Source organism: Homo sapiens, chromosome 1 (genome assembly GCF_000001405.40).
Source record: "Homo sapiens chromosome 1, GRCh38.p14 Primary Assembly".
NCBI lineage: Eukaryota > Metazoa > Chordata > Mammalia > Primates > Hominidae > Homo > Homo sapiens.
The window spans coordinates 147,930,957-147,947,133 of record NC_000001.11 but is presented as its reverse complement, the minus strand read 5'-3'; the positions used below and the strand labels follow the sequence as shown (position 1 = coordinate 147,947,133).

General features: G+C 38.1%; 1 protein-coding gene across 15 annotated transcripts in view; it reads right to left on the bottom strand.

Moving 5' to 3' along the window:
* GPR89B (G protein-coupled receptor 89B) overlaps nucleotides 1-16,177 on the bottom strand; it is a 97,515-nt gene that overhangs the window by 78,801 nt on the left and 2,537 nt on the right. For 9 of the 15 annotated variants that reach the window (NR_183755.1, NR_183756.1, NR_183759.1 and 6 more), the window contains exons 2-5: nucleotides 10,448-10,507; nucleotides 8,317-8,420; nucleotides 3,590-3,696; nucleotides 3,036-3,137 (exon numbers count right to left, since the gene is read on the bottom strand). Coding sequence is in view for 9 of the 15 variants with exons in the window: in NM_016334.5 (NP_057418.1) it covers nucleotides 3,036-3,137; nucleotides 3,590-3,696; nucleotides 8,317-8,420; nucleotides 10,448-10,507 (373 nt within the window). In the remaining 6 variants the exon portion in view is untranslated. Of the gene's footprint in view, nucleotides 1-3,035; nucleotides 3,158-3,589; nucleotides 3,697-8,316; nucleotides 8,421-10,447; nucleotides 10,508-14,492; nucleotides 14,539-16,177 lie in introns of all 15 variants that reach the window. The other 6 variants (NR_183758.1, NR_183757.1, NM_001350183.2 and 3 more) reach the window with 4 other exon arrangements.

Genomic DNA, 16,177 nt, shown 5'->3' with positions numbered 1-16,177 from the left:
CTAACTCCTGGCCTCAAGTGATATCCCTGCCTTGGCCTCCCAAAGTGCTGGGATTATAGGGGTGAGCCAACCTGCCCAGCCCATTTTTTTGTGGTCACCACAGCAATAAACAACCATACTGGTTGTTGGGACAGTCCTGGGAAAGCTCTAAGAAGGCAGTGTAAGGCTGGTTGCTTCTCAGCTACTACCTAAACTTTTCTTCCTCCTTACTTATCTTAGAGGGTTAAATAAATTAAGATACCTGAACATTCAGGCATAAAACTGTAATGCCTATTGGAGTACAATGGAAAGAATAAAACTGAAACTATCTCCCTAGCTTTCTCCCTCAGTGTCCTTTTCAGGGTAATCCCATAGAATTTAGAAAAAGGGGTGGATGAAAGGACAATAGATACAATGGCCTTCATCTTCCCTCTGGTGCAGCCTGGCTGCACTGGTCATGTGAGCTGAATGCACACAGGAGAAAGCTGGAGAAAGGTGTCAGAGTCGGGTCTTTGTAGTGCATGTGAGACTGTATTTGCCCTGTCAGCAGCCCTGGGGGCCTTTTCTAACTCTTCTCTCTGACTTCTACCATCACAGATAAATGTGTCTGTCTGTGGGTTTCTTTGAAATAGGTTTATATGAGAACTATACTACCAGGACTCTTTAGTGCAAGTCGTTCCCTTCGTTGACCATTGACATAGGCATGCTGATCACATTAGCATTTCCTAAATTCCTATCCAGAGTGTTAAAGTAGTAAACTCATCTACCACTTTGGAGAGACTCAATTTTCTTCCATCCACTGATTCAAAGAACACGTATTAAACACTTGTTATGTGTCAGTTTCCACACTAGGCACTAGGGATACAAAGACAAATAACATGCAGTTTTCTGACCTCAGGGAGCCCATAGGTTGATGAGGAAGTTAGAAAAGGAAACATGAAATTTTAAGTTTTATAGATGATATAGATACCTTGAGATGGTAGCAATTAATATCTCCTAATGATGGCCAGGAAAATCTTCCTAAAGGAATTGACAAGAGTTGAATCTAGAAAGGATAAATAGGCATTTTCTAGGTAGACAGGGTTGGTGAAGGATTGTCCAGGCTGATAGAACAGCTCTAGAAACTTGAGGCTGGGTGTGGTGGCTCATACTTGTAATCCCAGCACTTTGGGAAGCTGAGGTGGGTCGATCCCCTGAGCTCAGGAGTTCGAGACCATCCTGAGCAACGTGGAGAAACCCCATCTCTATGAAAAAATACCAAAATTAGCCGGGTATGGTGGCATGCGCCCATAGTCCCCGTTACTCAGGAGGCTGAGGTAGGAGGATCACTTGAGCCTGGGAGTCGGAGGTTGCAGTGAGCCAAGATCATGCCACTGCACTCCAGCCTGGGTGAGAGTGAGACCTGTCTCAAAAAGAAAAAAAAAAAAGAAACTTGAAATAATTTCACAGGACTGGAGAATGCAACATGTATAGAGAGCAGCAGCCAGGTCATGAAAGGTCTCATACGCCACCTAAGAGTTTGAATGCTTTTGGCAGGCTGGTGTTATGTTAAGTTTTCCGGCCTTTAATGTTATTTGAAATTTTGAAAGTTATTCTTATTTTAAAAATACACAACTATTTATGGTATTGCATATGCTTTTCAAAACTGCATATCTCCTCTGATCTTACTGCAGGAGAGTCTCATAACCTCTCTCTCTCGAAATTCCTGCTATAGGCAATCAGTATACATGGAAGGGTGTGTGGGAGGTATGGCAGATTCTATAATAGACACTGGCTCATTCAACATTAATTCCAATATCCTTTTCCAGCATTTGTTTTGGTACTACAGAGTTTAGAAAGCCAAAAGCCCCTTCTCAGACTTCCTTGAGGCCAAGGTTTTAAATATTACCTAGGTTTCACCAAAAAACCCGGCCCATGTGAGGCCTCAGATGCAGAAATGAACAATGTAGGGGTGGTGATAGCACTTAGGAGCTCAAACAGCTGGGACTGAGGTCCCTGATGTCATAGACCCTGAGTGGCAGGTGATAACTTCAGTGAGGTTTTCTAGTTTAGTATTGTGGCATAGTTGGGTATTTCTCTTCACTATATAGCAGTTAAGCTTTGCATCCCTACTTTCCTAGAAAGTCTATAAATTGCCTGATACTGTATAATTAATCACTTTCTGCTTTAAATTAGTTACAGTAGATTCTGTTTTCTGCAATAAGAAGCCTAATAATAGGTACGGCAGGATGGTGAATAAAGAGGTATATATATATATATTTTTAAAAAGGTTCCAGCATGAAACCTGTAGTATATTTATTACAGATGGGCTCTCTAATCTTTTTAGATAGATTCTCTAATCTTTTTAGATAGATTCATACATACTTCTGAAATAGTTCTGGAAGGACTTGTTAGCTGAGGTACTTTTGTTCATTGTTTTTAGCTTAAAAATTAGGGCTCTGCCAAATTTCTTGTTTTAAAATAAACTTTTTTTGTTAGAGGGGAGACACCGATTCTTGGAAAGCTTTTCTTTATCTACTAATTGTGGGTGTTTTATGTCACCTTTCCTCAAATACATATGCTTCCCTAATGTATCTTTATCATCACTTAAGCAGTGGCCGTTTACCTTTTGGGTCACAGACCCAAATCTGCTACCCAAATCTGATAAAAGTTTATTGATACCTTACCTCCAAATACACATACAAATATATTCCTGTAGTTCCATATACAATATGAGTTAGACACCGTTCTCTTTCCTTATACCCTTTAAGTATATTCAGTAAATGAAGGTCAAAAATTCCTACTCTAGAATGATAGAAGTGAGGTCCAAAACCAGCATTAGTTATCTCTTAGAATGAAGGAGAAAATGTGGTTCAAAATCAGACATTTTTCAGAGAAATAGCTTGCTATCCTCCTCAATCAGAAAAATTTTTTTCCAAATCCCAAGAACCTGTGAATTAATAAATTATTTCCCCAAATACATTTTTTCCCCAAGAAATTTAATTAATTGTTTTTGAAATCAGAAAATTAAACAAATCTTCTCCCCCCACTTCCTCTGCCCTCCTATATATACTCACCATGTTTTGGGCTGAGAATGGGAAAGGGATCTCCTAGTTTCCAGAAGAAATACATAAAGGTCAGCCATAAGAGACAGGAAAAAAGCAGTCGTTGTTTATGCACTGAGACAGAGGAGACAAAACTGTTAGGAAAAACAGATATAGGTTAAAGAGCTTGCTCTATTTAAAAATATAAGATAATGCTAACTAATATTTGGCTGCTAATTCACTTGGCAAATGACTGATGAACAGCATAATTTTTAGTGAAAGCATCCTTACCATCGTAAGAGAAATTTAGCTGAATTTAAGGTGTGGGATGAACTAACGGAGACATTATTAATAGGTAGAAAAATAAAGCTGTGGCAGAACAAATAACCTAATCATTCATTCAATATTTATTTTGTGCCAATTCATTCAATATTTATTTTATATTTATTTTTAAGATGTTGTGTGTGAGGTATCCTCAAATAGCGGTAGATACTGAAAGTTAATGTAGAAATGAAGCTATCCACAATTTAAGTCCCCTCAAATACTCATCTCAATCTATACGCTGACTGAGAGGGTAAAATACTTACGTAGTCGGATATTGCTCACAATAAAATAGCCAATGTAAAAAGGCACCATGAAAACCAGGATCAGCAGAATTACACACAGGTTCATTTTCCAGTGAAAATAACGGGAGCTGAAATAAATGTCAAAGACTGTCACTGGGAGGAAGAGAGGGCAGCAACTTTCTTTCTCTTTAGTCTTCCAAAGGGTCCTTTTGCTCTTGGACTCAATATTGAATATATCCTATCTAATCAGCCTACTAGGCTCTTAAAATCTACTCATTTGTAGAGATTAAAAAATACAAATTTTTGAAAGGTATGTATGACCATCTTAACATCTTAAGAATTTCATATATTAAAATAAGAATGTTTATGTTTTTGATATATTCATAGGCAACATATACCATTAACATGTATCAACATATGCCATTGCTGGTAGAATGACTATTGTTTTACCCACCCCTAGGAATCTCATTCCAATGTAAGAATTAAAGGAAAATAAATGTTAACAGTAATATATGTTATACTCAAAAATATTTCTTTTGTACTCTTGATATAAACACCTGATTTGCATGAATTACTTTTATTAGTTTATAAGATGTACTTCATTTATTAAAACTTTTTGTTAGCACTTTTTATAACAGTTTTAATGAGATATAATTTACCCATTTAAAGTGTACAATTCAATGGTTTTTGTATACTCAAGAGTTGTGCAACCATCACCTAAATCAATTTTAGAACATTTTCATTACGCCATAAAGAAACCCTGTACCCATTAGCAGTCACTCCCTGTTTCTCCCCAATCTCCTCAGCTCTAGGAAACCACCAATATACTTTCTGTTTCTAGGAAACCACCAATATGTAATCTTTTGTGACTGGCTTCTTTTACTTACCATAATGTTTGCAAGGTTCATCCATGTTGTAGTATCTATCAATAATTCCTTTTATGGTTGAACAATATTCATCCCATTATATGGATATATTATATTTTGTTTCTGCATTCATTAATTGAGGACATTTGGATTGTTTTTAGCTATTATAAATAGAGACGCTAGGAATGTGTGTGTATACATTTTGGTGTGGACGTATGTTTTCATTTCTCTTTAGGTAGAAATGGAGTGGAATTGTTGGGTCATATGATAAATCTATATTTAATCTTTTAGGCACTCCCACTGTTTCCCAATGTGGCTGCATCATTTTACATTTTCCTCAGGAGTGTATGAGAGTTCCAGTTTCTCCTCAGCCTCGCCAACACTTGTTATTTTCTGTTTTTTTTTTGGTTATAGCCATTTTAGTTGGTGTGAAGTGGTATCTCATTGTGGTTTTGATTTGCATTTCCTTGATGGCTAATGGTATTGGGCATCTATTCATATGTGCTTACTGGCCATTTGTATATCATCTTTGGAGAAATGCCTATTCAGATCCTTTATTCATTTTTTAATTGTATTATATTATTAAACTGTAAGAATTCTTTATATATTCTAGATACGAGTCCCAGTCCATTATCAGATAGGTAATTTATAAAAATTTTCTCTTGTTTTTGGAATGTTGGTTCACTTTCTTGATGGTGTCCTTTGTATTTACTGATTTTAAACTTACTTAAGCCTTGTTTCAAAAAAGGCCTAAGTGGTTAAATGGCTTACAAAGATAAATAAAATACAGGATGATGAAATGAACTATAAGGAAATATGAACAACAATGGTAACAGGTAAAATATTGGGCCAAGCCTGATGGCTATTATAAAATAGAATTCTAGAAAGTTGCTATGGGTAGGTCATAAATTTAGCTTTAAGTTTTCTAATGGTCAATGTGAAATAAAAAATTTGATCAGTTAGATAAAATCATCATGTCTGTAAGAAAATAAAAATTAATTCCTCAAAGGAAGCATAATTATCATTTATTGTTACTGAATTATTAACAAGATTACAATGAAATTTCTTCAAAGATTTCATAAAGAAAATGCAAAGGCAATTAACAGTGTCATCAACAACATCCTTTCAAGAGAAATATGTTTCAGAGGGCTGTTTCTTATTGTTCCTTCCTTAGTACAGATGGCAGGCATCACGAAACAAAGAGCCATTCAGTAAAAGCTACCCTACAGGGAGTGAATACCATTTAGACTAGATACATTGACAGCTTTTGCTCCTCTAGGTTAACCTACTTTAGAACATTTAGAGAAAGAAACAAGCTGGACATCCTCCAGGCAATACTACATAGTATTTCAGCTAAGCTTCTGCAAGATTTTGGGAAGCGGTGGGTTTGAAATAACAAGTGCAACTTTAATTGGCAGTATGGACTGCCTATTAAAAGTGAACCACATGTTTTAACTAGTCTTTTGAGCTGAGAGTAAAGTGATATTCTCTTGAAAAAACTAAGGATCCCAACAAGATTACATATTTGAATAGGAAGTCATATGATCTCTGCTCAAAGGTGAGTCAAAGGAATATTCTGGCCAAGATTCTCTTTTCAAAACGATTCTGAGTCCAGTCAATGGACAGTTATACATCATCAAGGTTCATATTTGTGTTCCATAATTGGGTGAAACATTAGCATGAAAAAACAGGTATAACTGAAGATATGTCTCAGACCCAATCCTCTATATAGCACACAAAGAAAAACCAGATTTTAGCAATGCTACTTCTTATCCTCTTTAACTAATTAAGAAATTTAGGAAACATACACCATAGTATGACAGATGTTTCTTACTATACGGGTTATTAACTATAAGTTAAAAGTTGGGGGACATCATCTACCAAAAACAGTAAATATAGCTTTAGAATATCTGAATCCTCTGTATCAATATTTAGATGAGTAGCTGGCAAACTATGGCCTCACAGCCACCTGTTTTTACAAATTAAGTTTATTGGAGCATGGCCATGCTCGTTTGTTTATATATTGCCTATGACTGCTTTCGCTCTACAACAGCAGAGCTGAGTACTTGTGATAGAAACCTTCTGGTCCACAGAAACCTAAAATATTTACTATCTGGCCCTTTACAGAAGAAAGACTGCCAACCCCTGCTTAAATAGCAGTGAAAGATGCAGGTTGTGATAATAAAATTTAATAACCATTATGTAAAATAATACCTGTCTATTCTCTATAGTCACAGGATCTATATCTAGCTCATCCAAGAAAAGGTTTGGATTATTTTTTATTTATTTATTTTTTTGAGATGGAGTCTTGCTCTGTCGCCCAGGCTGGAGTGCAGTGGCACAATCTCGGCTCACTGCAAGCTCTGCCTCCTGGGTTCAGGCCATTCTCCTGCCTCAGCCCCCCAAGTAGCTGGGACTACAGGCGCCCACCACCATGCCCAGCTAATTTTTTGTATTTTTAGTAGAGACGGGGTTTCACCATGTTAGCCAGGATGGTCTTGATCTCCTGACCTCGTGATCCGCCCGCCTTGGCCTCCCAAAGTGCTGGGATTACAGGCGTGAGCCACCGCGCCCGGCCAAGGTTTGGATTATTAAAGTTTAAAAGCAGGAGAATCAGAAAACACTTCTATTTTACCATAATACATGTTATTCATTGTTCTATCAAGAGACCATTATTATCAACTCTGATTCTCTCTCTCTCACTCTTTTTTTTAAGAGATGGGGTCTCATTGTCTTGTCCAGTGATCACAGCTCACCGCATATCCTCAAACTCCTGGGCTCAAGGGATCCTCCTGCTTCAGCCTCCAGGGTAGCTGGCACTACAGACGTGTACTACCACACTCTGCTGATTTTTTTTATTTTTTTGTAGAGACAGGGTCTCACTTTGTTGCCCAGGCTCGTCTTGAACCCCTGCACTTAAGTGATCCTCCTGCCTCAGCCTCCCAAAGTGCTAGGATTATAGGCGTGAGCCACTATGTCTGGCCCCTCTCTCTTTTTTTAACCTTTCAATGTTTTGTGATTAACCATCTGTATAGTAAGTTTTTCTTTTTAATTTAAATTTCGTTTTCAACTCTGATTATCAAAGGATTTGAGAGTATAGTCTCTCTACAAGTCTCAAGTGCCAGGGGTCTATAATGAACTTACCTTGGCACTGAATCCTAACTTTAGAGTGAAAGACTGCTTTACTCCTAAAAGATTTTTCCAGGTGGTGATAAAAAAGCACAACAAAGTCTGCATAGCATAGTTGATGAACCCTACATATAAATGCTGGCCTAAAAACATACTCAAGCTTGCAGATTAACAAGCAAGAAATATTTTGGATAGACTGTCTAATAAACTAACAAGTCTATTATTTGGAGGGGAGTAAAGAGTTATTTTTAAAAAGTGTTTTAAGAAACACTTTAAATTCAACCAAACTTGACCATGACTGTAAAATCAATAAAAATAACTAAGTTAAGTAAGAACTGGAGTTTCAGTCTTCAGAGAGATCATTAAAGTAGCTCTGAGGAATTCTAATCTTTTCAGGTAGAGATTTTCAATCAGCAGAACAATGTGAAGGGCTGTTACTGGGATTCAGTCAGCGAGCAGTCCTGGAAAAATAAAGCTTCTAGGAGTGAAGCCTAGACTGCAGCTTCACAGCCTCACTCCAATGAGTTCTTCAGAGTTAACGGTCAGATCTTTTGTTTCCTGGTATCTCATAATCTTTATCAAACCAGCTATTAGGTGGCTGTGACCCATATCTGTTGTGATCATTGCAGTTACTGAAACTGAACTATTAACACAGTGTTTTTTTTTTTTTCAGTTATGAGATCCAATAGCTTTTCCACTGTAAAGAATGTAGCACAGAACTCTTCAAGAGGAGTTTTCAGTACTCTTACTCACCTGCTATTCAATACTCCTAAGATTTCAAAGATGATGAGCTCAAACATGGTGCAAGAAAATGCAAACGTCACGGAGAAGATCACCTGTACAACATACTGACGTATCTGTTAAAAGCCAAACAGAGACTAGAAGTTATTTCCTTGTTTAAAAACTGAACTGATAACCTCCTTCTGGTTACAAGGCAGAAAACTTATTTTGAGGAAATTCTCAAGTCATTGGAAGTAGGGCCACAACAGCAACTTGCCTGGAGCTAAAGAAAAAGATCAATATAGGTGGCACTTCTGAATCTTGAGTCACTATTACCAGCATCCTCCTGTGGATGAAGAATTTTGAGGACAAGAAGATGAAGTGACAGGGTCATAGGTAGCACTTAGAATTCCTGATGCATACTGACAAAAAACTGACAGATTCGTACATAATGGTTAATGTTTAAAGGGGTTCTTCAACACTCTGCAGATCCTGGATCAGTTCTGGAACCTTCCTCGGGAGGTCTTAAAGTATTGGGCAGAAGAAAATCTCCAGAATCCCAGGCTCTTTCAGACAATAAACTCCCTGGGAAAGTTTAATGGAGAACATCCTAGAAATGACCCAAATGTAGACTATAACAACTGATCTTATTACTAATTAGGAGAACTAATTAGGAAATGTCGAGTCTAGGGTGGTGATCTTCTGAATCCAAAGCTTAAGATAAAAACAACACCAGCCTTGTGTTGCGGGAAGTCAGGGACCCCGAATGGAGGGACTGGCTGAAGCCGCAGCAGAAGAACATAAATTGTTTCATGGACATTTATTAGTTCCCAAAATTAATACTTTTATAATTTCTTACGCCTGTCTTTACTGCAATCTCTGAACATAAATTGTGAAGATTTCATGGACATTTATTAGTTCCCCAAATTAATACTTTTTAAATTTCTTATGCCTGTCTTACTTTAATCTCTTAATCCCGTCATCTTTGTAAACTGAGGATGTATGTCACCTCAGTACCCTGTGATGATTGCGTTAACTGTACAAATTGTTTGCAAAACATGTGTGTTTGAACAATATGAAATTAGTGCACCCTGAAAAAGAACAGAATAACAGCAATTTTCAGGGAACACGGAAAGATAACCATAAGGTCCGACTGCTTGCAGGGTTGGGCAGAATAGAGTCATATTCTTCTTCTTGCAGAAAGCGAGTAGGAGAAATACTGCTGAATTCTTTTTCCAGCAAGGAATAACCCTGGGGAAGGAATGCATTCTGGGAGGGAGGTCTATGAATGGCCGCTCTGGGAGTGTCTGTCTTATGCGGTTGAGATAGGACTAAAATACACCCTGGTCTCCTACAGTGCCCTCAGACTTACTAGGATTGGGAAATTCCAGCCTGGTAAATTCTAGTCAGACTGGTTGTCTGCTCTCGAACCCTATTTCCTGTTAAAATGTTTATAAAGACAATGTGTGCACAGTGGGACACAGACCCTCATCAGTAATTCTAATTTTTGCCTCTGCTTTGTGATTTTACTGCCCTTTCCAGCATGTGATCTCTGTGACCCACTCCCTATTCATACACTCCCTCCCCTTTTGAAATCCCTAATAAAAACTTGCTGGTTTTGTGGCTCGGAGTCACCATCACGGTCCTACCAATATGTGATGGCACTCCTGGAGGCCCAGCTGTAAAATTTCTCTCTTTGTACTCTTTCTCTTTATTTCTCAGACCGGCCGACACTTAAGGAAAACAGAAAGAACCTATGTTGAAATATTGGGGACTGGTTCCCCTGATAGCCTTGGGATTTTGGTATTAACTTATAATATAAGGCTTGCAATTCAGGGCCAGATAGACAAATGAAAGGGAACATTTGTGAGACATTATGAATTAAATTCTCTCCTACAGAATAACTATTTGCTATTGGTACATATCCTGATATGACTAAGACATAATCCTTGCTCCTAACTTCTGGGCTATATTTGATTTGCCTTTTTTCCCCCCTTTTAAATCAATTAAGTCTACTTATATTCTCCAATCTAATAGTTATATAGTACTTATTTGGTAAAAGCTTCCTATCTTGGAAATGAACATAATGTTTCTTTAATGGAGACATTTTTCTTGTCAATCTAAATTCATATAGTGTAAGTATGACAAAATGATTTCTTCTCACCTCATAGTCTTTAAACAATTGGCGCATGAAGAAAAGCCACCCAAATCCAAAAAATAGTATCTGGAGGAGAAAGAAGATAGAATGTCAATACATATTTTCTTTTGAGAAATGTTTTATAGAAACTCTTTTATGATAAAAGGTCTGCTAACTAGACGGTTAACTTATTTCAGGGATTAAAGATAAGATCCACTCTTATAAGACCTACTTATTAAAGCTCATGACATTGGAAATAAATTTTTAAATGCCCTTGGAGTTTTGAAGTTATCCATGTTACAGAGTATGCTTTAAGACAAAAATGGAAGTACATATTTTGCCATAATCTTATGATAATCATTATATGAGCCAGAGAAGTTTGCAAATAGAAAAGGAGTCAGTGGCCAGGCACGGTGCCTCACACTTGTAATCCCAGCACTTCGGGAGGACAAGGTGGGCAGATCACCTGAAGCCAGGAGTTCAAGACCAGTCTGGCCAACATGGCAAAGCACCGTCTCTACTGAAAATACAAAAATTAGCTGGGTGTGGGCACCTGTATTCCCAGCTACTCCAAAGGCTGAGGCATGAGAATCGCTTGAATCTGGGAGGCAGAGGTTGCAGAGAGCCAATATCGTGCCACTGCATTCCAGCCTGGGTGATAGAGTGAGACTAGGTCTCGAAAAAAAAAGAAAAGGTGTCAGAGTGAGACTTGCTTCTTATGGATGATCCCTGATTGCAAGTATTTAAAAATAATACTAGCCTGGCCAACATGGTGAAAACCCGTCTCTACAAAAAACACACACACATAAAAATTAGCTGGGGGTGGTGGGGTGTGCCTGTAGTCCCAGCCACCTGGGAGGCTGAGGTGGGAAGATCACCTGAGCCTAGGAAGTTGAGGCTGCAGTGAGCCATGATTGCACCACTGTGCTCCAGCCTGGGCAACAGAGTGAGACCCTGTCTCAAAAATAAATAAAAATAAATTAATTTAAAAAATAAAAACTTCAGGGGAGAGGAGTTGAGACCAAAATTAGAGGAGTAGTAGAAAGCCTAATATTTTTTATATCTGCTTCCTTCAGAGAGTTTTCTTACCTTCTCCACCATCCTGCCTAATCTACATAAAAGTGGTTTTCATCTCAGTGTAAAGCCGAGAGATTGCAGGATCCCTCTTTCGTCAGTTTTGTTTCAAACTGGCAGAGACCGTAGCCACATGACAGCTGACAAAGCTGGTCTGTAGTAAACAGAACTTTCTATACATACACACTGACACAACTACTCTTTTCTTCTTAAACTGGCTAGGACCCTTATGAATAAAATGATTTTATGTCTTTCTAGGGACTACTTTACTGAGCAAGTGTAAACTCAGTAGTTTAGCACAGACTACTTTAGCTTCTTATCATGCCCCTGCTGCCTAGCAAACTCATGTGTTCAGCCCCCTGGAACTTCTTTGGTTCTTTAGATCCATATTCTTTCACATCGAGACCTGTGTAGATGTCCTCTGAAAGGAACTTCTCTCTAGCCCTCTCCCAGTTATGCCATTTACTCCCCCTGGAAGGCCCTCTCTGCCCTCCCAAATGCAGATAAATTGCTCTTTTTATATAATCCTGTTTTACATTGTACTTCCCTCATCAAAGTGCTTACCATACAGTTTTGTAATGTGTGATTTAAATATTTTTTGACATTAGATTATAAGCTCTATGAGGACAAAAACCATGTTTGTCTTGTAATCTTTGTATCCTTGGCATCCAGCACAAAGCCTGGTACGTAGCAGGCTCTCCATAAGTGCTTGCTGAATGGCTAAGTGGTCTACATAAAAGATGGTTTATTCTTCAGCATTCAATCTTAAATTTTCTGTAATAACTCCTATGTGCTATGCTAAGTGCTGAGGATACAAAGATGAATAGGATGGTTACTACCCTCTAGGAGCTCACAATATAGTGAAGACAGTACATAAATAATTATAACATAATATGGATGTGCAATGATAGAAATACATACATGATATTGTAAAACAATATGAAAGAGGGAGACCAAACCAATCTGTAGGGGGTTAGGACAGATTTTCTGGAGAAGATAATGCCCGAGCCGAAGGAAGTTTTAATTTGGGGTTAAAACCTGATATTGTATGCACATTTTGGGGTTATGTGCATTTTTCTAGAGTGCTTTCAAGGTATTCATCACACAGTCAAAGGTTTCCACCACCCCTAACATAAAAACCATCCTCTCAAAGGATGAATAAGAATCAAGTAGGGAGGCTGGACATGGTGGCTCACGTCTGTAATCCTAGCACTTTGGGTAGATCGCTTGAGCCCAGGAGTTCGAGACCAGCTTGGGCAACGTGGTGAAACCCCATCTCTACAAAAAATACAAAAATTAGCTAGCTATGGTGGTGCATGCCTGTAGTTCCAGCTTATGGGGAGGCTGAAGTGGAAGGGCCACTTGAGCCTGGCAGGTAGACGTTATAGTGAGCTGTGAGCATGTCACTGCATTCCAGCCTGGGTGACAGAGCGAAACCCTGTCTCAAAACAAAACAAACAAACAAAAAACGAATCAGGTAGGGTAAAAACAGGTGGTAGGGGTAGGAGGACAGGGCTTTCCAGATAGCAAAGGGCATGAGTAAAGGCGCAGAGTGAATAGCATGGTATATGCCGGGAACTACACATGGTTTGGTGCTGCTAGAAGATGAAATTCAAAGAAGGAAGAGGTTAAAAATGAGGCTAGACAGGAGGAGTGGATGTCCAATCACTGAGAGCTTTGAAGGCCACCCTAAGGAGCTTAGATTATAGTCTGTAGGTGGTGAGGGTTATTTAAGCAGGGAAATGGCATGGTCTGATTTGTTTTATATTATATAGAGCGGTATGGTGGCTGTGTGGAAGACACACTTGAAGGAAGCGACAGTGTAGAAAGAGAAACATTATAGAAATGTGTTATGGGAATTCAGATGAAAGATGATAAAGCCCTGAATTAAGACATTTGGTGACAGAAGAGGAGAAAACAGATTTGAGAACTATTTAGAAGGTAAAATCAACAGGGAGAAGTCAAGGATGACTAGTTTGGAATACAGGATGAAGAGTGAAGCTACCCAATTTATATAAAGAATACTGGAGAAAGAAGAGGTTTAGGAAAGGGGGCAGAGGATGGGGAAAATGATGAGCTCATTTTTGAACACACTAAGGGCCTGAGGGACAGCCAGCAAGATGGGTCAAGATATCCAGCAAGTATCTGGAATAAAAGACAGATTGTGAAGGCAGGTCTAAGATATACCTATGAGTTGAAACCACCAAAGTACATGAGATCACCTGGGAATAGTATCTAGAGTAAGGAGAGCAATGTGCCAAGAAGAAAACACTAGAGGATAAGGAAAACAATTTTGAATGGTGAGGTAGAGGCAGGAACCAGAGTGTAGCAGGTCAGAATGAATGGGAGCTAAAGCAGTGGGGACAGTAAATGCAAATTACTCTAGGGAGAGCCAGGAATGAGAAAAAAAGAAAACATTAGATAATAGGCTAGAGAAGAATGTGGAATAAAGGGAAAGTTTATTGGCCAAGGGGAAAGACAGCAGTCAAGTAAGGAGAAAAAGATGAGAAGGATGGTGGAATACTAGAGGATGAACTGATAATACTATTATTAATATTATTAGGTAACTTTTATTGAGCATTTACTATACTCCAGGCTAAGTAGTACTTAGCATTATAATCTTATAAAAATAATTAAAAACTCAGTACAGTGGTTTGATTATCCTATTTTCACAGAGAAAGATGAGGTTTAGAGAAGTTAATCAATTTATAGTAAGTGTCAGAATCAAGATTGAACTCAAGCTTGTTTGACTCCAAAATCTGTGCTTTTTTTTAAATATTATTTTTTCAGCTCTTATTGAGTCTGTCTGTTTAGAAATTCTGTGCTTTTAACCACTTCAAAATACGCTACTCTAAGATCAAAGGTAGGTAGAATGGCTTTAAACCGGAGTAGGGGAACCCCGTTTTCTGAAATGGGAGGAAAGGAGGTAAGAATGGTTGTGAACACAGATAACCTTTTAGATTAAAATGCAGAAAGTATTCACAGTAGGAGATCATACCTTTTGGCTTCACTTTTGTTGAGTAAGTACGAGGCATGGTTATCTGCTAAGAGTAAGAGAGGTGAGTTAGAAAAGGGAGCTTTGAGGAGAGTGACAAAGATTCAGAGAAACTTTGAGGGGAATGAAACAAGTAGCTGATTAAGGTCAAGAAAAGGAATAATTCAGTGAGCTGAGGGTTAAACTCCTGGCGTTGGCAAACTACACAGCTATGTGATTTTCTATAGTAGCCTTCAGGCCTCTGTATTAGTAGTAAACAAACTATAGCAGTGATCCAAGTGTGGACTTACATATACATGAAGGTAAACGAACAAGAGGGTTTAAGAAAGTAAGTTGGATCCAAGCATCTAGATCAAGCAGAAAAGGAAAGGGTCAAACAGATTAGGAGAAAATGTCCAGGATATCCTTTGGCTATTATAAATATTTACCGGTGGAGACAGATGTAAATTCAGAGTTTAGAGACCATATTTATATGACTTATGAAGCCACGACTGAAGACAGAGAAGTTGGGCAGTTTAGGACTGATGGTGGTATGTATAGTGGAAATGGATGATTAAAAAAAAAAATCACCAAGATTGCTATGAAATGGAAGAGAAAACAAGCAAAAATTTTAAGTTTATATGGTGGGGAGGGGAATGGAAGAAAAGAGAAACAGATATATACCTTTAATATTTCATTGTGGCCTCCTTTCACATTGACAAAGAAAGCTTAAAAAGACTTTCAGAACAAAATTATGTCCTTTGCAGCAACACAGATGCAGCTAGAGGCCATCATCCTAAGCAAATTAACCCAAGAACAGAAAACCAAATACCACATGTTCTCACTTCTAAGTGGGAGCTAAATATTGGGTACTCACCAACATAAAGATGGCAAAAACAGAAACTGGAGACTACTTGGGGGCAGGGGAGGGGAGAAGGGGGAAGGGTTGAAAAACTAATTATTGAGTACTACGCTCAGTACCTGGGTGACCGGATCATTTGTACCCCAAACCTCAGCTCCCACAATATACCCAGCACAAGTACCAAATCTAAAATAAAATAAAAGTTGAAAAAAAAAAAAGACTTAAACTACACACACACACACAAGTAGCTGGAGAATTCATTTACATCCAAGTAAACACAAATTCTGGCAAGATTATAGAGGATCCAAAAAGAAAGCAGAAGCAAAATGCAATTTCAAATAGCTTTGCAAATAAAATGGAAGGCGTATAGCTTCTTATTAAAAATGAGACTTAATACTTTCAGAATTGTACAGAGTCTTGACCTTAGGACTTAAGAGTGTACTCTGGAACTGATAAGTCTTATGACGGTATAGAGGGCTTAAAACATGAGTTAGTTAACAGTTGCTTTTTAAAAAGTGACTTCTGGGTTGAAAATTAGCTACTGTTAAAAAAAAAAAGATGGCCATCAGCAGGACAGTTATTAAAGAATTAACTATAAAAGACACCTTTCTTGGATCATTTATTCACCCTTTTAATCATTTAACAAATATTTATTAGTGCCTAATATGTGCCAGGTCCAAGGGATAGAATGGCAAATGAGAGCATGAATGCTACTCTCAAGGAGTTTATAATCTATGGAGGAGATAAACAAGTAATTACAAAACAATGTGGTAGTGTTGTTACAGGGGAAGTAGGTGAAGGGTACTATGGCAGTAGGTATAGGGACATCTAGTCCAGTCTAGGGGAA